This window comes from Homo sapiens, chromosome 9 (assembly GCF_000001405.40).
Source record: "Homo sapiens chromosome 9, GRCh38.p14 Primary Assembly".
NCBI classification, from domain to species: domain Eukaryota; kingdom Metazoa; phylum Chordata; class Mammalia; order Primates; family Hominidae; genus Homo; species Homo sapiens.
The window spans coordinates 32,540,544-32,568,233 of record NC_000009.12 but is presented as its reverse complement, the minus strand read 5'-3'; the positions used below and the strand labels follow the sequence as shown (position 1 = coordinate 32,568,233).

The 27,690-nt window shown below is 41.7% G+C and overlaps 3 protein-coding genes and 1 pseudogene across 10 annotated transcripts in view, besides 7 other annotated features; 3 read left to right on the top strand and 1 right to left on the bottom strand.

The window, feature by feature from the left end:
- Positions 1–15,233, top strand: part of NDUFB6 (NADH:ubiquinone oxidoreductase subunit B6) — a 20,159-nt gene extending 4,926 nt beyond the window's left edge. For 2 of the 3 annotated variants that reach the window (NM_001199987.2, NM_002493.5), the window contains 2 exons: positions 9,280–9,324; positions 14,290–15,233. In NM_001199987.2, the coding sequence (NP_001186916.1) occupies positions 9,280–9,324; positions 14,290–14,358 (114 nt within the window). In that variant the 3' untranslated portion in view covers positions 14,359–15,233. The remainder of the gene's footprint in view (positions 1–9,279; positions 9,325–14,289) is intronic. The other variant, NM_182739.3, reaches the window with a different exon arrangement.
- DFFBP1 (DNA fragmentation factor subunit beta pseudogene 1) lies at positions 980–2,153 on the top strand (annotated as a pseudogene).
- Positions 1,374–17,090, bottom strand: SMIM27 (small integral membrane protein 27). 5 transcript variants are annotated; one of them, NR_146061.1, is made up of 3 exons: positions 15,755–16,000; positions 2,606–2,837; positions 1,374–1,843 (listed from the first exon to the last, which is right to left on the bottom strand). NR_146061.1 is itself a non-coding variant. In NM_001349118.1 (3 exons), exons 2-3 carry the CDS (start codon positions 15,797–15,799, stop codon positions 15,311–15,313), a joined length of 168 nt encoding a protein of 55 aa, NP_001336047.1. In that variant the 5' UTR covers positions 15,800–16,000; positions 16,541–17,090; the 3' UTR covers positions 15,217–15,310. The 5 variants fall into 5 exon arrangements, 3 of the variants coding, with proteins under 3 accessions (NP_001336047.1, NP_001336048.1, NP_001374493.1); NM_001349118.1 differs by lacking the exons at positions 1,374–1,843; positions 2,606–2,837 and adding exons at positions 15,217–15,433; positions 16,541–17,090; NM_001349119.2 differs by lacking the exons at positions 1,374–1,843; positions 2,606–2,837 and adding exons at positions 15,227–15,433; positions 16,427–16,558.
- Positions 15,160–15,873: an enhancer, noted in NCBI's record as "H3K27ac hESC enhancer chr9:32552359-32553072 (GRCh37/hg19 assembly coordinates)". NCBI's record gives its function as "activates a minimal SCP1, AML or CMV promoter by ChIP-STARR-seq in primed H9 embryonic stem cells {active_cell/tissue: H9 hESC(primed)}" and the evidence as "EXISTENCE:reporter gene assay evidence [ECO:0000049][PMID:30033119]".
- Positions 15,160–16,588: a biological region, named in NCBI's record as "H3K27ac hESC enhancers GRCh37_chr9:32551644-32552358 and GRCh37_chr9:32552359-32553072".
- Positions 15,648–27,690, top strand: TOPORS (TOP1 binding arginine/serine rich protein, E3 ubiquitin ligase). 2 transcript variants are annotated; one of them, NM_005802.5, is made up of 3 exons: positions 15,648–15,800; positions 17,266–17,460; positions 23,908–27,690. In NM_005802.5, the coding sequence occupies exons 1-3, from the start codon at positions 15,798–15,800 to the stop codon at positions 26,845–26,847; spliced, it is 3,138 nt and encodes a 1,045-aa protein (NP_005793.2). In that variant the 5' UTR covers positions 15,648–15,797; the 3' UTR covers positions 26,848–27,690. The 2 variants fall into 2 exon arrangements, with proteins under 2 accessions (NP_005793.2, NP_001182551.1); NM_001195622.2 differs by lacking the exon at positions 17,266–17,460.
- Positions 15,678–16,007: an enhancer, noted in NCBI's record as "active region_28264". NCBI's record gives its function as "activates an Ori minimal core promoter by ATAC-STARR-seq in GM12878 lymphoblastoid cells {active_cell/tissue: GM12878}" and the evidence as "EXISTENCE:reporter gene assay evidence [ECO:0000049][PMID:35858748]".
- Positions 15,874–16,588: an enhancer, noted in NCBI's record as "H3K27ac hESC enhancer chr9:32551644-32552358 (GRCh37/hg19 assembly coordinates)". NCBI's record gives its function as "activates a minimal SCP1, AML or CMV promoter by ChIP-STARR-seq in primed H9 embryonic stem cells {active_cell/tissue: H9 hESC(primed)}" and the evidence as "EXISTENCE:reporter gene assay evidence [ECO:0000049][PMID:30033119]".
- Positions 16,018–16,227: an enhancer, noted in NCBI's record as "active region_28263". NCBI's record gives its function as "activates an Ori minimal core promoter by ATAC-STARR-seq in GM12878 lymphoblastoid cells {active_cell/tissue: GM12878}" and the evidence as "EXISTENCE:reporter gene assay evidence [ECO:0000049][PMID:35858748]".
- Positions 16,868–17,087: a silencer, noted in NCBI's record as "silent region_19827". NCBI's record gives its function as "represses an Ori minimal core promoter by ATAC-STARR-seq in GM12878 lymphoblastoid cells {active_cell/tissue: GM12878}" and the evidence as "EXISTENCE:reporter gene assay evidence [ECO:0000049][PMID:35858748]".
- Positions 17,588–17,647: a silencer, noted in NCBI's record as "silent region_19826". NCBI's record gives its function as "represses an Ori minimal core promoter by ATAC-STARR-seq in GM12878 lymphoblastoid cells {active_cell/tissue: GM12878}" and the evidence as "EXISTENCE:reporter gene assay evidence [ECO:0000049][PMID:35858748]".

Below are 27,690 nucleotides of genomic sequence, written 5' to 3'. Positions count from 1 at the left end.
AAGTCATCCACGAGAGTTGAAATCAACTTCTTCCAAACTCTTGTTCATGTTGATACTTTGACCTCCTCCTGTTAATCACAAATCTTCTTAATGGCATATAGGATAGTAAATTCTTTCCCAGAAGATTTTCCATTTTCTTTGCCTAGATCCATCAGAGGAATCACTATCTTTTTTTTTTCTTTTTGAGACAAGGTCTTGCTGTGTCACTCAGGCTGGAGTGCGGTGGTGCCATCTCGACTCACTGCAACCTCCGCCTCCCAGGTTCAAGCAATTCTCCTGCCTCAGCCTACCAAGTAGCTTTTGATATGAAGTGAGAAACATGCAGCTCTTTCTTTTATTTGAACAGTTAGAGGTCATTGTAGTGTTATTAAATTGGCCTAATTTCAGTATTGTTGTGTCTCAGGGAATAGGACAGTCCAAGGAGAGGGAGAGAGGTGGGGAATGGCCAGTTGGTGGAACAGTCACAACACACAACATTTACTTATTAAATTCACTATCTTATATGGGTGTGATTTGTGTTGCCCCTAAAATTTGTAGTAGTAACATCAAAAATCACTGAGTGCAGATTACCATAACAAATATTAATATAACAATAGTGACAAAGTTTGAGGCCAGGCATGGTGGCTCACACCTGTAATCCCAGCACTTTGGGAGGCTGAGGTGGGCAAATCAGCTGAGGTGAGGAGTTCAAGATCAGCCTGGCCAACATGGTGAAACCCCATCTCTACTAAAATACAAAAATTAGCCGGGCTTGGTGCACGTCTGTAGTCCCAGCTACTGGGGAGGCTGAGGCAGGAGAATCCCTTGAACCTGGGAGAAGGAGGTTGCAGTGAGCCAAGATCGCACCACTGCCTGGGTGACAGAGCGAGACTCCATCTGAAAAAGTTTGAAATATTGGGAGAATTACCAAAATATGGCACAGAGACGTGAAGTGAACACATGCTGTTAGCAAAATGGCACTGAGTTTCTGGGATCGGTTCCCGGCCCATGCCAGTTTTGCAGAGCACACCTGGTGTAGAGCCCTGTGACTGGGGCCTGGACCAGCTTGAGCAGCTGGCCAGCGGGTGCCACTGCCTGCGGGGCCCAGAGGCGTTGAGTACATCTGCAGTGCTCCAGAAGCACAAGACTGTGAAGCTGCGGGCCCTGTGCAGCCCGAGGAAGTTTGGCATGGCGGGCAGGAGCTGCCGGGAGATGCTGCGCAAGGGCTACCTCTGCTTCTAGCTCCCTCGTACGAGGATGGCATGGAGCTGACCGAAGCGTCCTCGACGATGCCGAGCTGGTGCTGCTCACCTCACGCCAGGCCTGGCAGGGCTATGTGAGTGACATCGGGTGCTTCCTCAGTGCTTTTCGCCAGCCGCACGCGTGGCTCATCCAGGCCGCCCGGCAGCTACTGTGTGATGAGCAGGCCCCCACAGAGGCAGAGACTGCTGGCCGACCTCCTGTACAACGTCAGCCAGAACGTCGCAGCCGACACCCGGGCTGAGGACCCGCTGTGGTTTGAAGGCTTGGAGTCCCGATTTTGGAATAAGTCTGGCTATCTGAGATACAGCTGTGAAAGCCGGATCCGGAGTTACCTGAGAGAGGTGAGCTCCTGCTCCTCCATGGTGGGTGCAGAGGCTCAGGAGGAATTCCTGCGGGTCCTCCGCTCCATGTGCCAGAAGCTCCAGTCTGTGCAGTACGACGGCAGCTATACAACAGAGGAGCCAAGGGTGGCAGCCGTCTCTGCACACCGGAAGGCTAGTTCTCCTGCCAGGGTCCCTTCGACATGGACGGCTGCTTGTCAAGATACTCCATCAACCCCTACAGTAACAGGGAGAGCAGGCTCCTCTTCTGGACCTGGAACCTGGATCACATAGTGGAAACAAAAACGCACCATCATTCCTACACTGGTGGAAGCAGTTAAAGAACAAGATGGAAGAGAAGTGGACTGGGAATATTTTTATGGCCTGCTTTCTACCTCAGAGAACCTAAAATTAGTGTTGTCTGCCATAAGAAAACCACCCACAAAACCAGCTATGACCTGAACAGAATCTACAAACCCCAGACAAGGTTGAAGAGGAAGTGGCCTGTGTGAAAGCGCCAGTGACATATACACACCATATTCTCGTCTTTGTTCGAGGCCTGTCGTGGGCATAATTTTAACAGGTGCCTTTTTTTTTTTTTGGTCACTCCAGTAGCTCCTGGAAAAAACCTTAAAAAATATTTCCGGCAAATCTGATTTCAGTACATTTCTGAATCATTGTTTGTTTGTTTGTTTTTTGTAGGTGGAGTTTCACTTTCGTTGCCCAGGCTGGAGTGTAGTAGTGTGATCCTGGCTCACTGCAACCTCCGCCTCCCGGGTTCAAGTGATTCTCCTGCCTCAACCTCCCAAGTAGCTAGGATTACAGGTATGTGCCACCATGCCTGGCTAATTTTTGTATTTTTAGTAGAGACAGGGTTTCGCCATGTTGGTCGGCCTGGTCTCGAACTCCTGACCTCAGGTGATCCACCTGCCTCGGCCTACCAAAGTGCTGGGATTACAGGCGTGGGCCTCCGTGCCTGGCCTGAATCATTTTTTGTACCTTCTGACAGCCCAACTTCCAGAGGACAACTTTGGGGTACTCACTGGATGTCTTGTGAGTCGTCAGTAGGGATAAGAATTGTCCTGAGCTGAGGAATTCTTCTGTTCTCTGGTTTTACCAGTATTTGGTTTGCTCATGTGGTGTGGTCACCATACTAAAACGGTGTCATGGCTGAAGTTAGCCACTCTTGTTTGAGGGACAAGTTGTTTATGCATCAGCTGTCTGCTGGCTCTCCATTTCCATGGCAAATGGGCAGCTCCATCCTTCTTGACTGTTCTAAATGCCCAAAAGAGAGGTGTCATGCTTTGGGGGTAAGATGTTTGTACTCCATAAAGAACATAAAAGGACATTCACTGCTGAATTTTTTTCTTTTTTTTTTTTGAGACAGGGTCTCACTGTGTCTCCTGGCTGGAGTGCAGTGGCGCGATCTCGGCTCACTGCGACCTCTGCCTCCTGGGTTCAAGTGATTCTCCTGCCTCAGCCTACCAAGTAGCTGGGATTACAGGTGTCCGCCACCATGGCTGACTAATTTTTGTATTTTTAGCAGAGATGAGGTTTTGCCATGTTGGCCAGGCTGGTCTTGAACTCCTGACCTCAAGTGATCTGCCTGCTTTGGCCACCCAAAGTGCTGGGATTACAAGCGTGAGCCACCGCACCTGGCCTGCTGAATTGTTTATAATGGCAAAAAGTAGGAAACCTCCCAATGTCTATGAATAGGGCCATAGCTATTATGTCGAACCACATGAAACTGCCGTTTTTCTAGGCCAAAAATGGTGAGCGATCGTTAATTTCATGATTCAACTTGATACATTTACATAGTGCAAAAGGATGTTGTAGTTTCAAGCTTTTATGAAGAAAGTGTTTCTGTGTAGAAACTGGAAGCTGTTCAGTGCACTGGCAGCTGAACCCTGCTCCTGCTCCATTTATCAGAGTTACTATCATCTCAGATAATATGGAGCTCATGTCAGCAGTGCAGGTGGTGAGTGCGCAGAGACAATCTGGAAGGAAACGCTGATCTGAACAGCAGTAATCCTGGGGGACATGGGGGTGGGACTGGATTACAGAGGACTCATTTTCTAAATCATGTATTTTATGATACTTGAATTTTTTTGAAATGGGCATTTATTTAATGACATGTTATAATGTACTTTTTTTTAAAAAAGTGTAATATTTGAATTTTTACATTTGTTGTGTAATCAGCAGAAGCAATAAAGATTTTTCAGAAAAAAGAAAAATGGCACTGATAGAGTTGCTTGTCTCGGGGTTGCTAAAACCTTCTATTTATAAGAAAACACAATATATGTGAAGTGCAGTAAAGCAAAGTGCAATAAAGTAAGGTATGCCTGTGAGTACATATGTTGATGATAAAGGGACACAGGATTCTCACTGCCGGAAAAGGGAGTTACCTATGTGAAAAGGAAGAAAAGTTTGTGGTGGTAGAATGGAATTGGAGGTACTGGTGTGAACTCATGGTTTTTAAAATGTATTGATAGACCTAGAAATAGATATAGATGTAAATGTGGATGTGTGCATGCGTGTTTGTGTGTACATATTCTCTAGCTATGTCCACTGAGAGGACCTGGAAACATTGCCACTCCTTAGTAATTAGCACACTTAGAAGCTAGGTCTTATTTTCTAAATACAGTTATGCACTGAAAGGACCCAGAGCTCAGAGCAGTGGCCAATTCTAGGGCGGGAGGAGAGAAAGTATAAGATGAGCTTGGAACATATTATTGTGCCAGAAAGTAAAGAAGTGCTGAAAGAATGATGGGAACATATTTCAAAGGACACAGAGTCAGCTTGCAAGGACTCCTGCCTGGGCAGTTTGAACTTCAAAGTAAATAATGATAGTAATAGATGATAGTCACCTGAATAAAATGAAAATCCATGAGTGCAAACTGATATAAATAAGTGAATTAATAAATGGGTAGAAAAGAAAGCTTTTTGATGCAATAATTTGCTGAATGATAGAATTAGAAAAATTACCATTTGAGAATCATCATAGTAATATTTAATTCAGCTAAGGAACATCAAAGGATGCTAACATTAGTCTGGGCACAGTGGCTCACACCTGTAATCCCAACACTTTGGGAGGCTGAGGTGGGAGGACTGCTTGAGGCCAAGAGTTTGAGATCAACCTGGGCAACATAATGAGACCCCATCCCTCCAAAAAAAAAAAAAGCCCAATAGTCCCACCTGTTCAGGAGGCTGAAGCAGGAGGATCGCTTGAGCCCAGGATGTGGAGCCTGCAATGAGCTATGATTGTGCTGCCCACTGTACTCCAGCCATCCTGGGTGACATAGTGAGACTCCCATCTGAATCAAAAAAAGAAAATTAAAAAAAAAAGAGGATGCTAATACTAATTTTAAAATACTTATCCTCAAAATATTTAATTTGTTACAAAGAGAGAAAGAGTATCTTTGTAGTAGAGAAATCTGGCAGACGCCACCTTAGTCAAGGGGTCTAAATTAACATTATTGATAATGGGGCAAACTGAAATTATGTTACTTGATAGGCTGCAATAAGAACACAGCATTACTTTTGTGATATTCCTGCCAAAGGTGCATAACTTGAATGTAATTTATTGATTAAATTCATATGAGGAAACAGAAGATAAACCCAAACTGAGGGGCTGTTCTCCCTCATTATTGGCATTATACCTTCAGAAATGTCAAGATCATGAATGTTAAAGAACAGCTTTAAGATTGTTCCAGATTGAGGAAGAATAAAGAGATATGCCAACTAAATGCAATTCTTCATTAATAGGCATAATTGCATTATCTGTAAGAACAGTGACGGTGTTGGCAGTCAGAATTTTAAAGAGCCTGCACAGTCAATGGAGAACATGTCATGTAAGGGGATTTTCTGATAAGTCCAAACAATTATTGAGACAATTGAGAAGATTTGAATGGATTTTTTAGATCAGGTAGAGATAGTAATGTATGAGTGTTAATTTCCTGATCTTGATAGTTGTATTGTAATTATTTTAAGAATATTGTCTTTGCTTGTAGGAAGTATACTAGAGTAATAAACTAGTCAGCAATTTACTATAAAGTGATTCAAGGAAAAAATTATTTTCATTCTTGCAGCTTTATGTAAGTTTAAAATTATTTCAGAATAAAGACAGAAGTTAAGGACTGTCTAACAAATTATAGATAATCCAGTGAATGTTGGCTTTCTGTTAGCCTATTGACAGAAGAGTGAAACAACCAAAATTTTGGGGGGTTTTCAGAACACCCCTGCCCCCAACATAACTTACTCTCTTTGATTGTGTTCTCTATTGATTGTGTAGACTCTTTAAAATTCTGATTGCTGACATCTTTGTTCCGTGTACTAAGCAGATTAAGCCCCTTGATTAACAAGTACGGAGTGCCTAGCATGTCCTCTTCCTTTATTGCTATAGAAAGAATATACAAGACCAAATTCCTGACCTCAAAGACTTTATAGTAAAGTTGGAAGATAGGTATAATTTGGGAAAGAGTACGGAGGAAAAAAGTTAATTCCTGTTAGAAGCAAACATATGGAGTCAGTAATGAACGTGGCCGTATGTACCTAAGACTGAGGAGCTGACTAGAATGGAAGGTCTGTTGACTAGGTAGCCTGGGACCAATTTATGGAAGGTGTTGAAAGTTAGATAGAAGAAGTTGAACTGCATGTGATAGGCAATGGGAAGCTTTCCATTTTTTAATGGGAGAGTGACTTGATGAATGTGATACATTGAGGAAAACAAAGAAAAACATTGAAATGGATGGTGAATTGAAGGGAAGAAAGTTCTGACAGCAGGGCAGATCAGCTGGAGGCCATTGCGTTTTAGTAGATGTCAGTTGAGAATCTGGTTAGGGTGAAGATAGCAGGGATGAAGAAGAAAAATAAAGCCAGAGACACTTCTAAAGGAAGAAACACCTGAAGTTGGTGGTTGATTAAGTTGGGGATAAAACCAAAGTTCACAGTCATTTATGACTGCAAAATCTCTAGCCTTGGAAATTACAAGTAGGGTATTGGAAGGGAGGGCTTTCTGATGATGGGATAGAAGTGAATATTTTAGACTGGGTGTGGTGGCTCATGCTTGTAATCCTGGCACTTTGGGAGGCTGAGGCGGGTGGATTGCTTGAGCTCAGAGGTTCGAGACCAGCCTGGGCAACATGGTGAAACCCCATCTCTACTAAAATACAAAAAAATTAGCTGGGCTTGGTGGCATGTGCCTGTAATCCCAGCTACTCAGAAGGCTGAGGCAGAAGAATTGCTGGAAACCAGGAGGCAGAAGTTGCAGTGAGTCGAGATTGGGCCACCGCACTCTCCAGCCTGAGCGATATAACGAGACTCTGTCTCAAAAAAAAAAAAAGAAAATAGTGAATTTTTTAGGAGCGTGTGCTGCCATGGCAGTTTTGGAGATGTCCAAGTGGACATGGCCTGTCTTATGTGTTAGAAACATGAGATTGTTAGTTCTAAGAGGAATTAGAGTTGGGTTAGGGGATTTTCACATTACAAACCAACACAAACTCTCTCTACAACTATTAAAAAGGGCTAACAATTTGTATATCTAAGGGTGAGAGAATAGTTTGTATTTCTGTTGTTGATGGGCTTTAAAAAAGTTTATGTTCATAAAAAGGCTACTTCATTTCATTATACATCTGTTATGTTTTCACTATTTTGGCATGTAAGACCCTAGAGAAGAAAATATATTACTTTCTGTCAGTGAAAGTTTAACATCCAAGAGTGATTTTTATGTGCAGAAAGAACTGGTTACAGTGACTTAAAATCCAGATTAATGTATGGTTCTTGAGTTTCAAATATAAAAACATATTTTTTTCCTAATTCTTTAAATTCAGTTTTAAAATTCTATTAAACTATGCATCTAGTAAAATAAGAATAATCTCCTTTGTTTTTACTATCTTTGGATTAATTGAAGTTGAACTCTTCTGAAACAATTCCATTTACAAACATAGCTAAATTCTGTTAAATATTTTAAATTGTATTTATACATTTTGTGTGTTCAATTTTATTTCGAAGTATTTATATGGTAAATTTATGATTCTAAGAAGTAATTTTTTTCAACCTAGAATCACAAATCAATTATGCATTTTAACTAGAATCCTAAACCTAATTTTTTAAAACCTCTGTTAGCCAGATTATCTTACACATTACAAACTCTGATCAACAGAATGTATGGAATGTAGCAATGTTTTCAGAACTTTTAAAAGTTGACACATTCACTTATTTATACTCTGGGTTTAACTTACTTTATCATATCTAAATTTAACTACATTTTTCTGGGATCGAAAAGACATTTCTAAGAGAAGCAAATTTAACAAACTGCAGTCACTAGGTTGACAATTTAATACAGTAATGTGGTTGCTTATCTGAGGGTTCACACTTCCAGGTGATTTTTCCTGAGCCATAGATGGACATATTTAGTTAAACATTTTGTGTCAGTAGAGGTCCCAGAGCCACTCACTTACCTTACTTTTTCTCTTGATTTTGGTAGGTAAAGGATTGCATCTTCAATAAGATTGCAACCAGTTTGCTTCAGCTCACTCCTTTGCTGCCTAATTGAATTCTGCATCTCTCAGATGACTTTTCAGTGTCTTTTTGCCTTTTAGCACGTAAAGACATTTTAAAGTGCTCACATTGTATTCTGAGTTTCTCTCATGTTCCAGTTCTCTATGCCTCATATCATGCCAATAATCTTTTAAATTTTGGGCAGTGGTATCTTGTGCAGATGTATATGCATAAAAAGTACATGTATTCAACAATTACTTATGTAGTACCTCTTATGTGCAAGGCATTGTTTTAAAGACCAGGATACAGCAGTGAACAGAGCAGATTGAGTCCCTCCCCTCATGAAATGTTTAGTTTTAGAGACTGGTAATAAATATATAAACAAAGAGGTATATTAATGTTATAGGAGAACAAGTCTATAGAAGAAAAATTAAGCAGGGTAAAAACTAGAGAATGATAAGGCTTGCTATTTTAATTAGGCCTCTCTGAGGAAGTGATCTTTGAAGACAAACATAAATGAAATGAAGATACAGGTCAAGCAGTATTTAGGAGAAGAGCATTTCAGGTAGAGGAATCATGAAGTACAGAGGCCTTGAGGCACAAGCAGGCTTGACTGAATTGGACTCCTAGGAATGGAGCCACTGTGGCTGTAGTAGAGTAAGTGAGGGAGAAAAGACTGGCTTTTTCTCTAAGAATTATGAAACTTTGAGCAGAGTGACATATCTTAAAAGAATCAGTGTACTCTGCCTTGAAGTGTGGAGAATAGACTTTTCATTTGCATAGGAGGGCACAAGTGGAAGCAGGGAGGCTAGTAGGTGCTGTTGTGGTAGTTGAGGTGAAAATATGATAGAGGCTTGGACAAGGCTGGTGATGAGAACCAGTTGGATTCAGGGTATATTCTTAAGATAGAATTAACAGGCTCTGCTGAGGAGTCAAGGTTTCTGTCTTTCATAACTGGGGGAATAAGAGTGTCATTTACTGAGATGGGGGACATGGGGAGGAACAGTTTGGGGATGGGAGAAGTTAAGTGTGGGACCTGGTTAAGTTTGAGATGCCTGTTTGATAGCTAAGTAGAGATGTTGAGTAAACAGTTGGATATGTGAATCTGGAGTTCTGTGAAAGTTTGGAGCTTAAGTTAAAATTTGGGGTATGACCTATTTCTTATTTTCAGAAGAAACTCTTAACACCATAATTAACACAGAGTTAACTTTTATTACAGGAAAAACCATATGGCATAGTTGAAAAGAAGTCCAGAATATTCCCTGTAAGTCTTAACACTTCTGATTTTTCTTTTGTTTATTGTTTTTCTCTTTCCTTTTCCTCCCTTTCCAAGCAATTATTAGATTAAAATGTTCTTTCCTTCTCACTTTCGGTTTAAGTCCCTGTTTTGTGTATTCTTGTAAAAAACAAAACAAAACAAAAAAAAACAGGAAGAAATACCGTGAGGTAACAATTACAGTTCAAATGGGAAGTGAGCACATTTATTTTCAACCTGGCTGTAAAACGTGTTTTGTGACCTTGATTTTCCTAAAGGGAGTTGAAAGTACCAAAAGTTTTTCACTGTGTCCTGTTTCATGTTGGGTAAAGAGCTTAGGGCATGAGCCTAAGCAAACATCCATGCATGGTGACAGCAACTGAATTTCTGTTATTAATTCCAAACTCTCATGTCCTATGGCTTTGTACCTCATTTTCAAGATTTGACCTTAAGTTCTCCATCTGTGAATTTAATATCCACTAATGGGTGTTTTAAATTTTATACTATGGGCCAGGCACAGTGGCTCATGCCTGTAATCCCAGCACTTTGGGAGGCCAAGATGGGTGGATCGTGAGGTCAGGAGATCGAGACCATTCTGGCTAACACGGTGAAACCCCGTCTCTACTGAAAATACAAAAAATTAGCTGGGCGTGGTGGCGGGCGCCTGTAGTCCCAGCTACTCGAGAGGCTGAGGCAGGAGAATGGCGTGAACCTGGGAGGTGGAGCTTGCAGTGAGCCGAGGTTGCGCCACTGCACTCCAGCCTGGGTGACAGAGCGAGACTCCGTCTCAAAAAAAAAAAATGTATACTATGAATGTGTGAGCTATAGTACTAATTTGAAATGAGTTATTTTAGCATTAAAAGGTGACTCAGTAGTCAGTTGGTATTTACTAGCTGTTTGTGAGGTTATTGTTTAGCATAGTAGAATACATACTATGTTCTTGTCTATTTCTAGTCACAGATAATGAACTATCATAACTCAAAAGTACACAATTTAAATAACAAAAGTGTGATTCTTGCTTTAATCAAATGACTTAGTCACAGTAATGATTATCTGTTGCAACAGGGGAATTTTAGGAAGGGCCACCAAAACTGGCCAGCGGTCCCAGTTGGAACGCTGGTTTAAGAAATAGTTGGGGGAGGGGCCAGGCGCGGTGGCTCACGCGTGTAATCCCAGCACTTTGGGAGGCCAAGGTGGGTGGATCACAAGGTCAGAACTTCGAGACCAGCCTGGCCAACATGGTGAAACCCCGTCTCTACTAAAAATACAAAAATTACCGTGCGTGGTGGCGGGCACCTGTAATCCCAGCTACTGAGGATGCTGAGGCAGGAAAATTGCTTGAAACTGGAAGGCGGAGGTTGCAGTGAGCTGAGATCGTGGCACTGCACTCCAGCCTCAGAAATGAGTGAAACTCCATCTCAAAAAAAAAGGAAAAAGGAAAAAAAAAAGTAGGGGGTATCGGGGGCTCATGCCTGTAATTACAGCACTATGGGAAGCCGAGGTGGGTGGATCCCTTGAGGCTAGGGGTTCGAGACCAGCCTGGCCAACATGGTGAAACACCATCTGTACTAAAAAAAAAATACAAAAATTAGCCAGGTGTGGTGGTGCACGCCTGTAATCCCAGCTACCTGGAGGCTGAGGCACAAGAATTGCTTGAACCTGGAAGGCAGAAGTTGCAGTGTGCGGAGTTTGCGCCACTGCACTCCAGCCTGGGTCACAGAGTGAGACTCTGTCTCGGGAAAAAAAAAAAAAAAAAGTGGGGGCCAGGCGCGGTGGCTAACACCTGTAATGCCAGCACTTTGGGAGGCAGAGGCAGGTGGATCACCTGAGGTCAGGATTTTGAGACCAGCCTGGCCAACATGGTGAAACTCCATCTCTACTATTAATAAAAATACAAAAATTAGCTGGGCATGGTGGTGCACGCCTGTAATCCTAGCTACCGGGGAGGCTGAGGCACAAGAATTGCCTGAACCTGGGAGGCAGAGGTTGCAGTGAGCCAAGATTGCGCCACTGCACTCCAGCCTTAGCGACAGAGCACCCTGCCTCAAAAAAAAAAAAAAAAAAAAAAAAAAGTAGGGGATTTCTCCTTTTGTTTTATTGTGTAACATTGATGTGTGTTACAGCCTAGGTAGTCTCAAAATAGGAAATTATCTTGCTGGTTTTTCCAGCTGGGCAATTTATATTTATTTAGTCTTCCATTTATTCCATTTAAATGTTAATTTATTTTGCCATTTACTGTTCAAAGGAAAAGGAGAGCTCTATTCAGAAGACCATATCAGGGATCCTGTAGCATTTCTCATATTTCTGTATTTTTTGCCACTGTGGTTCTTTCTTGTTTCTGTGCCATGACCCCTTTGAGGAACTGAAGAATGCTCATTGTATATATGTTTAGAATAGGACAAGTAATAACAAACTTCCAAATCTCAATGGCTTAACAAAACAGAGGTTTATTTCTTGTTGACATCACAGACTACTGTGAATCAGGTGATCTTCCTCAATCTTACAGCCGTGCCTATCGAATATGAGGTTCCAAGATTGTGATACAAAGATACGGCAGGATGTCTCAGGGGATGATTTTTAGGATCTAAGCTTAGAAGTAGCTTACATCACTTCTGCTCAAATTCTGTTAGCTAAAACTCACTGTCATCTTCCCAAATATTATCTGTGTGCTCTTTGCTATTTCCCAGACCCCTGTTCATGGAGTTTCTGCTACATTCCATCTTTCTAGTCACCAAACAGCTCTTGGCTTCTTTCTTTACCCATGCATAACACACTTAGTCTCTCTCCTTAGGGAGAAATCCCAAAGTCCCATTCCATCATTGCACCCCGGCCCCAAATCCATGATCTCCAGATGATGTAAAATAGTATGTCAGGTTTATATATGACTTCTGTTGATCTGAGGATCAGTGAACTAAGAAGACAAGTTAACTGTATCCTTGTCCCCCAACCACACCCATTGTTCAGTGGTAGAATTTGGATAGCATAGTAGTCACTGGTTCTTGGCAATCCTGAAATCTCACTCCTAACCCGTGTGTGAGAAATTACTTGAATGGGCACTGATTTTGTTTTCTTGAAAGAACACCTTTATCCATCGTTCTTCCTGGTTCCTGGCTCTGTCCAGGGGGTTTGTTCTTTTCATTATCTACCTAGACCACATCTAAATGGTATTGGGAAGCATGCCCTCCTTAGGGGGCTGTATGGGCTTCAGAATCTGCCACCTGCTTGCAGGAGGTTGAATGCCAGAGGTTGTTTTAATTTCAAACATTCTGGCAGGATTCTGTAAACTATATGTTTGGTTTGTCCATCCATTTCCCTTAACATTTAGAAGCATGAAAAGAAAAATATTTGGTAGACATCTAATGTGTTTACTTCTAGTCAGTGTCTCATGCCAGTATCTGTTTTTCCTATACACAGTTACCAGCTTGTCTCATTTCTTTGTCCTTATGCATCTGCCTCTCTCACCTCTGTGGCAGCTATGTGGAGGCCATCTGAGGCAGACTGGTTCAAAGGCTACCTTCATTTTAAACTGATCTTTGCCATAGGGCTGTGTCCCTCTGTTTGAGTTTTATTGGGCTTCTGTTGCTCAGATTTCTTGTGTTAACTTATTGTTTAGGAATTCTGAAGTAGTGTGATTTTTCAATACCACAAGGTCCTGATTTTTTATTTATTTTTTAGATACAGGGTCCTACTCTTGCTCAGGCTGGTTTTGAACTCTGGGCCTCAAGCAATCCTCCTGCCTTGGACTCCCAAAGTGCTGGGATTACAGGCATGAGCCACCATGACTGGCCCAAATTTTTAGATTCTATTAACTTTTTTTTTTTTTGGTCAGGAACAGAAAGTCTCTAGCGTGCACCAAAGTGTTCTCTCGTCCTCTCCATTTTTATGTCGCCTCTCAAATCAGCCACTTTTTGCCTGAGCTCATGCTTCTTAAAGTACATTCCCAAGGCATCCAAGGATCCCAAGGATCCAAACACATACTATAACTTTTTTTCCCAGCTACTTCTTCTAGAACCTCAAGTTCATTAGGCAGTCAGCTTCCAAGTTATAGGAGATATTTTGCTAAATAGTTTGCCACTGCCTTTTGTTTCCATCTTTATCTTTGCTACCAGACTGCTAAGCCAGTGCCCTATAGCTTGATTTTTATTACAGCAGCATTAGTGCCACTTCAAGGCAATGATTTCTATTGGGATAATGCTAGCTGTACTAACAAATTGTTGCCCAAATGTATAATGGCATAAACATATTTATTTTTTCATTGGACTATAATCCTGAGCAGTACCAGGTCAGGGAATGGCAGGGATTGGGGTGGGTATGGGGACAATTCTACTCTTCCCAGTCATTCAGGGACTGGCAGGCTAACAGAATCTATCTTAAACACATGGCTGAAACTGAAATTGAATAATCTGTCTTAAAACTATACAGCTTGTCAGTGGAGGTTCCAAGATTCTTACCACTTGGTTCTGGCTTCAATGCCCATGCCTTTTTGCCCACATCTATATCAAGAATTGAAAAGACATCTGGACCAGCTGCCTAGCCAAAGTTTGTATTCTGTATTCAGTATGTAAGCCAATCAGAAAACTGGTGATTGCGTAACACATTCAGTTGCTGGGGGTACATTACCTCCTTATCTGGAACTGCAGATGTTTCCTTGCAACTTCTTTCTGGGGCCTCCATTTATTGGGGTCATACAAAATAAAAGATTATCCCTTTATCACTTAGAGAACACAATTTTCGTGCCCTTTTTGATTATTTTGTTTCTGAGTGAAAATTTCCCTATTATTTCACTATACCTTAAAATTTTGAATACTGATTGTTCAGATTTAGTCAGCTTCTACTTTGTCTAGGGTCCTTTTAAAGGGAATGCCAGAACTCAAGTACATTTTCCATGTGAGATCTGATGAACATAGAACAGAATAGAACTATCACCTCTGTAGACTTAAGATTTTTGTACTAACTGTATCTTTGTTTTCCTAGGGTGATACAATTCTGGAGACTGGAGAAGTAATTCCACCAATGAAAGAATTTCCTGATCAACATCATTAAAGATTATGTAAAAAGTTAAAAGGCTTATGAGCCTAAGTTTGTTCCTATATTACCATATTTACTGAATTTTCTGGAAAAGTAACTTTAATAAAGTTTAATCTCAGAAATTGTCATATCTGTTTTCAAGCATTGTACAATTTGAGACTGAGTAATTTAACAATAAGTAAAAAGTGGACATGCTAAACAAATATGAGAGACTACCTACTTTTTCTGGTCATTCTTGACTTGGAAAACGGTATGGAAAAGTATTTAGTTACATGTTTGTTTGTTTTTTTCTTACACAGTACTTACACTAATTTGGTATCAGGGTATGCAACAGTGAAATATCACAATAAACAAATGTAAGAACAGCAATTCCATGCACTTTTGTTTTAAGGAAATCTTTCCGGCCAGGCGCAGTGGCTCATGCCTGTAATCCCAGCACTTTGGGAGGCCGAGGCGGGCAGATCACGAAGTCAGGAGATCGAGACCATCATGGCTAACACAGTGAAACCCCGTCCCTACTAAAAATACAAAAAAATTAGCCGGGCGTGGTGGCGGGCTCCTGTAGTCCCAGCTACTGCGGAGGCTGAGGCACGAGATTGGTGTGAACCCAGAAGGCGGAGCTTGCAGTAAGCCGAGATAGTGCCACTGAGCCTGGGCGACAGAGCAAGACTCCGTCTCAAAAAAAAAAAAAGCTTTCCGAATCATTTTTGAAGAATTTAGAAACTTGATTGAAAAGCTTATTCCAACTATGATCTGACACTCAAGACTGTCAGATTTAGGTTGCTGTTAATTTTGTCATGAGAATGTAAAATACTAAAATCTCTAAGTGAAAAATTTGCATACTAGTGCTTGTTATAAAGGATAATGCAAAAATAAACTTGGGAACTTTGCATTATGAATTTTATTTTTATATCTACATAAGCATGAGGGAAAGAACTGTATTTTCAGATAATTAAATCCAGAAGAGTTACAAATTTTCATTCGTCCCAAAGATTTTGTCTGGGTATTTCTTCCTTAGCTGTCGTCTTGCAGACACCATCGAAGCATAGATGATGCAGCCCCAGGAGATTAAAACGATGGCAAGCAGCAACTAAACCAAAAATCGCAAAGGAGGTGTGAAATCTACCTGATATTTCCCCTCGCCCCCGTCAGGTTACCGTTGCCATTGCTAAGGTGGGAATTAAAGTAACAAAGTCGAATAAATGGGGTTCCAGTGGCGGGTACACCCAGCAGCCCTTACGTAAGAAGCGGAAGATCGTATCCTCCAGGAAGAGGCGGAGTCGAGGTGAGGGAGTGAAATGCTTAATTCAGGAATGGATTTTGGAGTTTCTGGGTGCTGAAGAAATAGGGCCTTTCCGCCTGCGGGCCCAGTGAGTCGACACGGTGGGGGCCCGCGATCCCCGGGACTTACCACTGAATAAATCCAGTCCAGCGTGCGACGACTTACTGGCTTCATGGTAAGGAGGCGGCAGCAGTCCGCGGGAGCTGGCGGGAGCTGCGGGCCTTACAGTAACCTCCCAGGCGGTGGCTGCCAGGCGCCAGCAGCCATCTTTTAGCCGGGCACGAGCGCCCGCCCACTCGCTTCGTGCAGCGCTGTCGCTGGCCTCTTCCGCCCGGAGTTGGGGGGCGGTATCACGTGATCGGGGGCCTTGCCCGCCTTTTAGAGAGGGGAATAAACGAGAAAATGTTAAAAATTGCTTTTTTTTTTTTTTTTTTGCCAACTAAGGAGATAGGCGTACCTCCACTGGTTTTCTTTCTAGTTGCAATGCAATATTAATGCAGGATAAGGTGCTGTCGTGTCCATTTAAAAGTTAATTTGAAAAACAATCCACGTTTTAAATATTACGTCTGGCTCTAAAGCTGGAAGAATTAACGCTTTCTCCCCCGCTCCCTCCCCCACGCCTCCCCGCATCTGATACCACACGATTTAGATGGACGTTCGCCTGTTCATCTTTGACGTAAAAATACCACCCACTCTTTTATATGTGACAAATCGTTGTGGGAACCCCTGTAAATCGAGCCATTCTTCAGAAACGTATAGCGTAATGTATATCTCTAAGAAGAAATACGTGGGACGCGTTACCCGCCATAATGTATCAGTCAAGCAACAAGTGTTTGTTGAGCGTGTCTGATGTTCTTGAACTGCCGCGCGTGAGATACTAAGCCCCGAGCACGGCAGTTTGGTGGGCGAGCGTACCAGGTTCAGCTCTAGAATGTTTGGGGCGCTCACATTTGAGGCCTGAGGAGTAGAATCTGGCAACGGGCCGCTTAGGCTCTAGACGTTCTTTATACCTCGCAGTTATCTTAAAAGAGTTTTAGTCTAGATTTCAGGGAGTGGGAAGGGGAAGAGCGGAGAAAAACGTGGTCTGTTTAGGGAGGAGTCCAGGCCCTGTTTTGTTAGGTTGTCCTGTTTCTCCCCAGCCTGGAGGGGATCCCTCTCTGAAGACTTTATAGGATACTGGTTGGGCTCTGGTTTGGGATCCCGTTGGACTCCTGGTGTTGCTTCCGGGAGGCGTACAACAGGAGGTGAGAGACTTCAAGTCCATCTAACAATTCCCCTATCTAGACACTAAAGATAATTTCCTAAGTTTCCGCAGAGTTTGGTAAGGTTGAAACGACATCGAACTAGTTCTCGTGTTTTCCGGGTAAGTTAGGGGCGAACATTCAGTCAGTGTCCCCAGTGGCTGAGTACCAGTAACAAGATGGGGAGGGTCGCGCTGCCCTCCTCCGGGGTCTGGAGCGGCGGGGGAGGGGCCGCATTTGGGCCGGTGCGCTGAGCCCCGCCCCCGAGGCCGGCGTCCATCTGCTGCGCATGCGTGAGGAAGGCGGGTGTTGTGTTTTGATGCGCGGGAGCTGGGGGGTGGGTCTCGCTCTCTGCCCTGCTTCCGAGCTGCCATTGGTGATGAGCCCTTTGCGTCACAGGGGTCGCAGCCGCCGCTGGGGTCTCCGCTGTCTCGCGAGGAGGGTGAAGCGCCCCCGCCTGCTCCCGCTTCGGAGGGTAGGCGGAGAAGTCGCCGGGTACGCCTTCGCGGATCCTGCCGACACCGACCTAGCTTTCTGGGCTGCCGGGAGCTCGCGGCGAGCGCCCCAGCCAGGCCTGCGCCGGCATCCTCCGAGGTGAGTGAGATTCGGAACAATGGGACGCGGGGGTCGGAAGGGCCGTGGGAGTTGGCGCTCCCGCCTGGAGCGGCGCCTCGGGACCCGAGGGTTGCGGTCATGGCCTGCGGGGCTGTCCGGGCCTCGGCGGGCCAGGGCCAGGGCCCCCGAGCGGCTCCTGCGCGCACCTGTGGATTGGTGCGGGCAGGCGAGGGTTGCGCTTCCCACAAGCGCTCCCGAGGGGCGCGAGCCTGGCCGTGTACTGGAAAGAGCTTGGTCTCAGGGAAAAGCAAAAAAGCAATGAGACTGAATCGTGGCGTCACCACTTACAGGATATGTGACCTTGCCTAGGTCCCTTAAATCCCTGAGCCTGTCTGTAAAATGGGAATAACAATATTTAAGTTCGTTGTGGTTATGTAATGCTCATGGTGCTTATCTTAGTCTAGTGGCAGTTCTGAACCAAAGTAAACGACTATCACCGTGGCTTTGGGAGTTGGGACTTGTCTGTGTTGTGTTAAACATTCTGAGCAGAAATTGCCCGTGACTTGTTCATCCATCCATTTACTGCAGCTTTCCTCATGGGTTGCTGATTGTAGGCTGGAAGGGGGCAGTGCTGAGATGAGCCACATAGTGATTTAAGAGGAAAACGGAGTAGACCTTTTGATAGGTAATTTTCAAGATTATTTAAGATAAATTAAGAAACAGCTGCCCAAGATTTAAGTTAATAGTGGTGAGAGCTTTCTGGGTTTTGTCCATGAAATGCAAAGAAAGCTATACAATCAGCTAAAATCAATCATACTTGTCTGGAATGAGTGGTTTTAGAGGCGAACGGTTCCCAGCCAATTCTTTTTGCTGGAATTGGATTAAATTTGATAGGATCTGGATAAATTTGATAGGATCTACTGAGATCCTGTGACTTTTGTATCTTCTTTTGGAGTTGATTAAATGCAGTTCAGAGAGGTACAGTGATTTCTTTAAGGTGGCAAGAGGTAGGAACCAGTTTATTTTTAATACTTGGGTGATCTTTCTATTTCATCTATTCGTGAACCCTTTTTAGTCACTTTGCCTAGAAATATTAAGTATAATAATTATATTAAGTATGATGATTATTTTGTTGTTATAAACTATCCTCTGTCTGGACCCATATAATCAGTTATGGGTGATGAGCTACCGAAATTCACTTCGTGTTCACGTAACATAGAGAACATTGTTGAGTTCTTACTGTGCATCAAGCACTGTGCTAAGGGTTTTTATGAAATATGTCCCGTCACACAACCACCTTTTCAATTCCATTTTAGAATTGAGAAAACGTGAGATTTTGAGAAAAAACTTCCTCCAGGTTACACACCTACTAAGTGGTGGCGATTCTCAGCCTTGGCTCTGCAGCAAAATTAACATCACTCCCGCAAATGTAATCAGCAGATGATTAAATTTTATATACAGTGTATGCCATAGATGACTTTTGATTTTTATTGATTTATTTTTTTTGAGACGGAGTCTTGCTCTTTCGCCCAGGCTGGAGTGCAGTGGCGCAGTCTCGGCTCACTGCAAGCTCCGCCTGCCAGGTTCACGCCATTCCCCTGCCTCAGTCTCCCGACTAGCTGGGACTACAGGCGCCCGTCGCTACGCCCAGCTAATTTTTTGTATTTTTAGTAGAGACGGTTTCACCGTGTTAGCCAGGATGGTCTCGATCTCCTGACCTTGTGATCCGCTCACCTCGGCCTCCCAAAGTGCTGGGATTACAGGCATGAGCCACCACGCCCGGCCATAGATGACTTTTGTAGTAAGTCTAACTTTAATTCTACAGAGCAGTTATACTTCGTTTATATCATTGTGCAGTTTTTCAAATATCCAGTCTCCTGAAATGTAGATTCGAGCTTCCTGATTCTTTATCTCCCCCATCCATTTTCCCTAGACGTGTGTCCATATTAATTAGCTGAAATTTCCCCGAATTGTTATTATCCTTGTTAAAGCCAGATTTGAGGATTTTTCGGGAAAGGGAAGTTTTGGCTTAATCAGTTTATACTAAAGATGGTGAACTTCATTTAGGATTTGGGAGACAGTTTAGGAAGTGTGACTGGAAGAACTGATTGTCTCCTGTGAGGAAATGTCCTAATTCCTAGAGTGCTAGGATGGAAAACCCGTAACACAGGCTTCTTACAGAACCTGAAGCACTGTGTTTTTCATCGGGTCTACCTTTGCTACTTAAATTCAGAACGTCTCTTGCAGATCAGCCACTCTTTTGTGTGTGTGTGTGTGTTTGTGTGTGAGGCAGAGTTTCGCTCTTGTTGCCCAGGTTGGAGTGCAGTGGCGTAATCTCGGCTCACTGCAACCTCCGCCTCCCGGGGGTTCAAGTGATTCTCCTGCTTCAGCCTCCCGAGTAGCTGGGATTCCAGGCATGCGCCACCACGCCCGGCGAATTTTTGTGTTTTTAGTAGAGACCGGGTTTCTCCATGTTGGTCAGGCTGGTCTCGAACTCCCGACCTCAGGTGATCTGCCCGCCTCAGCCTCCCAAAGTGTTGAGATTACAGGCGTGAGCCACCGCGCCCGGCCAGCAAATCAACCACTCTTAATCTGTATCTAGTCATCCCAGTTTTTATGCCTTAATTTGTATTTTTAAACAGCTTTGTTAAGATTACATTCCGGGCTGGGCGCGGTGGCTTACGCCTGTAATCCCAGCACTTTGGGAGGCCGAGACGGGCGGATCTCAAGGTCAGGAGATCGAGACCATCCTGGCTAACACGGTGAAACCCCGTCTCTACTAAAAATACAAAAAAAAAAAAAAAAAAAAAAAATGCCGAGCGTGGTGGCGGGCGCCTGTAATCCCAGCTACTACTGGGAAGGCTGAGGCAGGAGAATGGTGTGAACCCGGGAGGCGGAGCTTGCAGTGAGCCACGATCGCGCCACTGCATTCCAGCCTGGGCGACACAGCAAGACTCTGTCTCAAAAAAATAAAATAAAAGATTACATTCCATCCATAAAGTTCACCCGTTTAAAGTTTGTAGGTCAATGATTTTTTAGTATATTTACAGAGTTGTACAACCATCACAATAATTAATTGTAGAACGTTTTCATCACCCCAGAAATAAACCTCTTTACTGCCCCAGCAGCAGCCACCAGCCTCATTTCATCTCTCTAGATTTGCCTATTCTGGACATTTCATATAAAAGGTATCATACAATATGTGGGTTCTTGTGAATTTTTTTTTTCATTCATTTAGCATAATAAAAAGTTTCATCCATGTTACAACATGGTACCAGTACTTTGTTCCTTTTTATTGCCAAATAAAATTCCATAGTGTGGATAGACCACATTTTATTAGTCTGTTAATCAATTGATGGGTATTTGAGTTTCTCCTTTTGAGGTATTATGACTAAAGTTGCTGTGAATATTCATATACAGTTTTTTTGTGTGGACAAGTTTTCGTTTCCCTTGGGTATATCTAGGTGTGTAATTGCCGGGTCATATGTTCGACTTCATTTGCGTTTTAAAAAACATTTTAATTTAGTATTTAGTGATGATTTTGAAGAGCTAATAACTTATTTGATCTACATGCATTCCAATTGTTTGATGTTTCTTTTTCTTTTTTAAAATAGAGACTGGATCTCGCTTTGTTGCCTAGGCTGTTTCAAATTCCTGGCCTCAAGGGTCTCCTGCCTTGGCTTCCCAAAGTGATGGGATTACAGGCGTGAGCCACCGTGCCCCGCCTCTTTGATGTTTCTGATGAAGACTGTTTGTTTGTTTGTTTGTTTGTTTTGAAACAGGGTCTCATTCTGTCACCCAGGCTGGAGTGAGGTGGTGCAATTATGGCTCACTGCAGCCTGGACCTCCCAGGCTCAGTTAATCCTCCTGCCTCAGCCTCCTGAGTAGCTGGGACTACAGGTGTGCCCATCATGCCCGGCTAAGATTATTCTTTTCAGCTAATGATTCCTGTGTAGAAATACAAGAATGAATTCTAATTTATTATTATTTTTTAACCTGTTATGGAGGACATTACCAGTCATTCATTCACCTTTTACTGTCAAAGTGGTTAACAGGCTTATAAAACTAGAGAAGGGAAGGGTAAGGTTTCATTTTTTTAAAAAAATCATACTTTGTTGAGATTTTATTTTATTTGAACTTCAAGTTTACTACCTAATAATTCCCTTTAATAAATTCATTTTCAGCTGTAATTTTTATGTGAACTGGAAGTGTTCAGAAAACACTAAAATTCTATTTCAGAGAACTAAGTGAAGATAAAATGTATTAACTTGGAATTCACGGGTCTTTTTTCCAAGTCCAGTAATCCCTTCATTATATAGAGGAGAAAACTAAAGTCTAGAGTAATGTGGTTTTCTTCACATTAACTAGAGCTAGTTCTAGGTGAAGCCTGGTCTTCAGTCCAGATCTTTTGATAACCTCTTTGATTCCCTCCCAACTTTTCTCTGTTCCTTCCCTCTACCACACACACAGTCTCTGAACTGAAAGGTTTTTATTTTTATGTGTGTGTTTCTTTAAATTTCTTGAGTAGGCAGATTAAAAAATGTTAAAAGTAGAGGGAAATGCTGAGAAGGTTGTGCAGTATTAGGGTTTTAGACTGTTTATGAACAAAAAAGCAGTATTATGTATTTATAATCCTGCTTTTCCAGACCTTCCAGGACAGTGATGATGTTTTTGCATTTTCAGTCCAGTAAATAGAAGACTAGACATACCTGGACCCCTGAAGAAACGCTTATTTAGCATTAATTGATTCTCTATTAAGTTATGGTTCTGAGAAAGCCAAGATGCCCTAAAGTGAGCAGGTTTAATATGAAAGCTATGGTGGAATACTTGTATTTCAGTCATGAGTTTTTGTTGTGGGTTTTGTTTATTGGTTTTTCTTATAGTTTGTTAAGGCCAATGAGTCTATTTAGAAAATTACAATTCTGTTATTTGATTAACTTGACCCCAGTTGACTAGTGATGGAACCTCCTGTGATAAAGGAGGTGGAGGAAGATGAATATTAGGCCCTGGGAAACCAAGGGCCTAGTAGTTTTTTGTTGTTGTTTGTTTATTTGTTTTGAGACAGAGTTTCACTCTTGTCACCCACTGCAATGGTGCAGTCTCAGCTCACTGCAACCTCTGCCTCCTGGGTTCAAGCGATTCTCCTGTCTCAGCCTCCCAAGTAGCTGGGATTACAGGTGCCTGCCACCATGCCCGGCTAATTTTTGTATTCTTAGTAGAGACAAGGTTTCACAACGTTGGCCAGGCTGGTCTTGAACTCCTGACCTCAGGTGATCTGCCTGCCTTGGCCTCCCAAAGTGCTGGATTACAGGCATGAGCCACCGCGCCTGACTCCCCAATAGTCAATATACTCAAAATGATTAGTATAAAATGCAGCTTTGGAGTTTATGAGATAAAGTCAAAACGCATACTAGATTTCAAGCTCTAGCAAAGTTTTGAGCCAATGTAAACTGATAAAACAAACTAATCTTTAATATTCTAGTCATCCTTATGGGAAAGGATAATAGGGAAGGGGACCAAAAACATGATTTCAAGATATTCTGTGGCCTGACTTTTGGATTAAAGAAAAAAGCTAAAGGAAGGCTTATTAGGAATGCTGAATGGAATGAGTGATTAACTGAATATAATAGTGTAGTAATAATAACAGCTGACATTTACTCAGCACCTACTGTGAGCCAGGCACTGCCTCTTGGCTGCTTTTTCATTTATTATTTAATCTTCACTAAAAGTTTCCTCTCCCTTTTTAAAATTAGCTTTCTAAGGTTGAAAAAAGAATCTTTCACTAAAAATCATAGGATTGGTTTAAACAGGTGAACTTTCTGGTATGTAAGTTATGTCACCAAAGTTGTTTTAGAAAAGTACATACAAAATATCACAGATAAATCAGTAGTCTGTATTGTTAGTGGCATATGTATATGAAAGGTATAAAGCCATGCATAGAAATAACATCAACTGAGGAGTGTGGTGTTTTTGTTTTTTGTTTTCTAGAGAGTGATAGGAGGGGAAGATAAGGGGCATAACATAAGTGGTGGATACATGGGTATTTGGTACTTTTTTTTTTTATATGTCAGATATTTCTCAAATTATTTTTAAAAAGAATAATAGAATGTTACATAATATTTGAGAGCTTTACTATGTAGCAGGTGCCTTTTCTAAGGGCTTTTTACATCTTCACAAACCCTGTAAGGCAGATTCTGTTATCACTGACCTGCAGATGAAATTAAAGCACAGAGATACTAACTGGCACATAGTCACGCTGGTAGTGTGGAACCAGGATTCAGTCTTAGGAAATCTGACTTCAGAGCTTATGCTTTAAGCACTATATTACTATGCTACAGTGCCCCTTTATAAAATAAAACAAAAGTAATGGGTCACTTAAGTATTTTCACCAAAATAAGTTTCAAGGTCTTTATTTGCATTTTTGTTGAGACTATTTAGTCATTCCTCTATTATCAGGTTACTGATATATTTCTTTCCCTTTTACAGATAATGGCATCAGCTGCTAAGGAATTTAAAATGGACAACTTTTCACCTAAAGCTGGCACTAGCAAATTGCAACAGACAGTACCAGCTGATGCATCTCCTGATTCTAAGTGTCCTATATGCTTGGATAGATTTGATAATGTGTCTTACTTAGATCGCTGCTTACATAAGTTCTGTTTTCGCTGTGTACAGGAGTGGTCAAAAAACAAAGCTGAATGCCCACTATGTAAACAGCCCTTTGATTCTATTTTCCATTCTGTGAGGGCAGAAGATGACTTCAAGGAGTATGTCCTAAGGCCTTCGTATAATGGTTCTTTTGTCACCCCTGATCGACGATTTCGCTACCGTACAACTCTGACAAGGGAACGAAATGCTTCTGTGTATTCACCTAGTGGTCCTGTGAACAGAAGAACAACAACTCCACCGGATAGTGGAGTACTGTTTGAAGGGTTAGGCATTTCAACAAGACCTAGAGATGTTGAAATTCCTCAGTTTATGAGACAGATTGCAGTAAGGAGGCCAACTACGGCAGATGAAAGATCTTTGCGGAAAATTCAAGAACAAGATATTATTAATTTTAGACGAACTCTTTATCGTGCTGGTGCTCGAGTTAGAAATATTGAAGATGGTGGCCGCTACAGGGATATTTCAGCTGAATTTTTCCGTAGAAATCCAGCTTGCCTTCACAGATTAGTCCCCTGGTTAAAACGTGAACTTACAGTTCTTTTTGGAGCTCATGGATCTTTAGTGAATATTGTCCAGCATATTATCATGAGTAATGTTACTCGCTATGACTTGGAGAGTCAGGCATTTGTGTCTGATTTAAGACCATTTTTACTTAATCGAACTGAGCATTTTATACATGAATTTATCAGTTTTGCCCGATCTCCTTTTAACATGGCAGCCTTTGACCAGCATGCCAATTATGATTGCCCTGCTCCTTCATACGAAGAAGGCAGCCATTCTGATTCTTCAGTCATAACAATATCTCCAGATGAGGCTGAGACCCAAGAGCTGGATATTAATGTAGCCACTGTTAGTCAGGCACCATGGGATGATGAAACTCCAGGACCATCTTACTCAAGCTCAGAGCAGGTACACGTTACTATGTCTTCTCTTTTAAATACTTCTGACAGTTCAGATGAAGAACTTGTCACAGGAGGAGCCACGTCTCAGATACAAGGAGTACAAACCAATGACGACCTAAATAATGACAGTGATGATTCTTCAGATAATTGTGTCATTGTTGGGTTTGTTAAACCACTAGCTGAGAGGACCCCAGAACTTGTTGAACTGTCCTCTGATTCTGAGGACTTAGGTTCTTATGAGAAAATGGAGACAGTGAAGACACAAGAACAGGAGCAATCTTACAGTTCTGGTGATAGCGATGTTAGTAGATGCTCATCTCCACACTCTGTCCTTGGAAAGGATGAACAAATAAATAAAGGTCATTGTGATTCTAGTACAAGAATCAAATCAAAGAAGGAAGAGAAACGATCTACATCATTGTCATCTCCCAGAAACCTGAACTCATCTGTAAGAGGAGACAGAGTATATTCTCCATATAACCATAGACACAGAAAGAGGGGAAGATCAAGAAGTTCAGATTCACGTTCTCAGAGTAGAAGTGGGCATGATCAGAAGAATCATAGAAAGCATCATGGGAAGAAAAGAATGAAAAGTAAACGATCCAGAAGCAGGGAAAGTAGCAGACCTAGAGGGAGAAGAGACAAAAAGAGATCAAGAACTAGAGATAGCAGTTGGTCCAGAAGAAGCCAAACTCTGTCTCTAAGTAGTGAAAGCACAAGCAGATCAAGGTCTCGTAGCAGTGATCATGGTAAAAGAAGATCACGGAGCAGAAATAGAGATCGTTATTATTTAAGAAATAATTATGGAAGCAGATACAAATGGGAGTATACTTATTACAGTAGAAACAAGGACAGGGATGGGTACGAATCATCTTACAGGAGGAGGACTCTGTCCAGAGCTCATTATTCTAGACAGTCTTCAAGTCCAGAATTTAGAGTTCAGTCCTTTTCTGAAAGAACAAATGCTAGGAAAAAAAATAATCACAGTGAGAGGAAGTATTACTACTATGAAAGGCACAGATCAAGGAGCCTGTCTAGTAACAGATCAAGGACTGCATCTACCGGGACTGACCGGGTGAGAAATGAAAAGCCTGGAGGGAAACGAAAATACAAAACACGGCATTTGGAGGGTACTAACGAAGTGGCTCAGCCATCTCGTGAATTTGCTTCTAAAGCAAAGGACAGTCATTACCAAAAATCTTCATCAAAATTGGATGGAAACTACAAAAATGAGAGTGATACCTTTTCAGACAGCCGATCATCAGACAGAGAGACAAAACACAAAAGGAGAAAAAGGAAGACCCGGAGCCTAAGTGTAGAGATAGTTTATGAAGGAAAAGCTACTGATACAACTAAACACCATAAAAAGAAAAAGAAGAAACATAAGAAGAAGCATAAGAAACACCATGGAGATAATGCTTCACGTTCCCCAGTTGTAATTACCATTGACAGTGACAGTGATAAGGATTCTGAAGTAAAGGAGGATACAGAATGTGACAATAGTGGTCCTCAAGACCCTCTACAAAATGAGTTTTTGGCTCCTTCCTTGGAACCATTTGAAACTAAAGATGTAGTTACAATAGAAGCTGAATTTGGTGTGCTGGACAAGGAATGTGATATTGCCACACTTAGTAACAACTTGAATAATGCCAACAAAACTGTAGATAATATTCCACCTCTGGCAGCTTCAGTTGAACAAACTCTCGATGTAAGAGAAGAGAGCACCTTTGTTTCTGATTTGGAGAACCAGCCCAGTAACATTGTGTCTCTTCAAACTGAGCCATCAAGGCAATTGCCATCGCCACGGACATCATTAATGTCAGTATGTCTTGGTAGAGACTGTGATATGTCTTAAAACTGCCAAAGCATTTCATTGAGAATTATGATGTTATAAAAAGGAAAAAGGAAGAATGTCGTCTACTGCAGTCTATTTAAAGATGACATTTGGTGAAAACTCTCTTCCTCCTTACAATATTTTAAATGATTTTTTTTTTGGTGTTAATTTGTAAAAATCATTATTTGTTCAAAATGTATGTCCCACCCTCAAAGATATGCACTTTTAAGTGAAGAAAATGATACTGCTAGCAGCTTATTTAAAACTTGGGGTCCTTTTTAAATAAGAAAAATTATATAAATTTTAGAAGTTATTTCATAAAGCCATACGGTATTGACATATTTTTAAGGTAGTCAATGAGTATTTTTGAATTTTTTTTTTTTGAGAGTTATTCTGGAAATGTGTTATAAGCTAGGAGAATCCCTTTGGACAGTCTTTATTTTTCTTCTTAAAAATTTATATGATTCAAAACCATTTCTTCAGGTTAAATTGAGGCATTTTAATCTGCACAGTTTATCTTCTGCCAAAATAAAAATTTACTATTTCCTTTATATACTTGTTTATCTGGACTGCCAGTAAAACAAATGTGTATTCAACAAAAGAAAAAAAATAAAACAGTAACACTTTAAAACAAGAATCAGACATTTTCCTATGCAGTATTTTTTTTTAAAGTTTATTTTAGTAAAGTTAAAATCTTGAAAGTAGCTAAGGGCATAATTATGTCATAAATACTGAACTTCAGGTGAACAAATACTTTATAGTTTTAATTATTTTCTTTGATTTTGAGGAGTATCTTATTTGCTTTCTATCATCAGTAAAAACAGCATTTAACTTGCTAAATAAACATGAAAAACCCTTGTCATA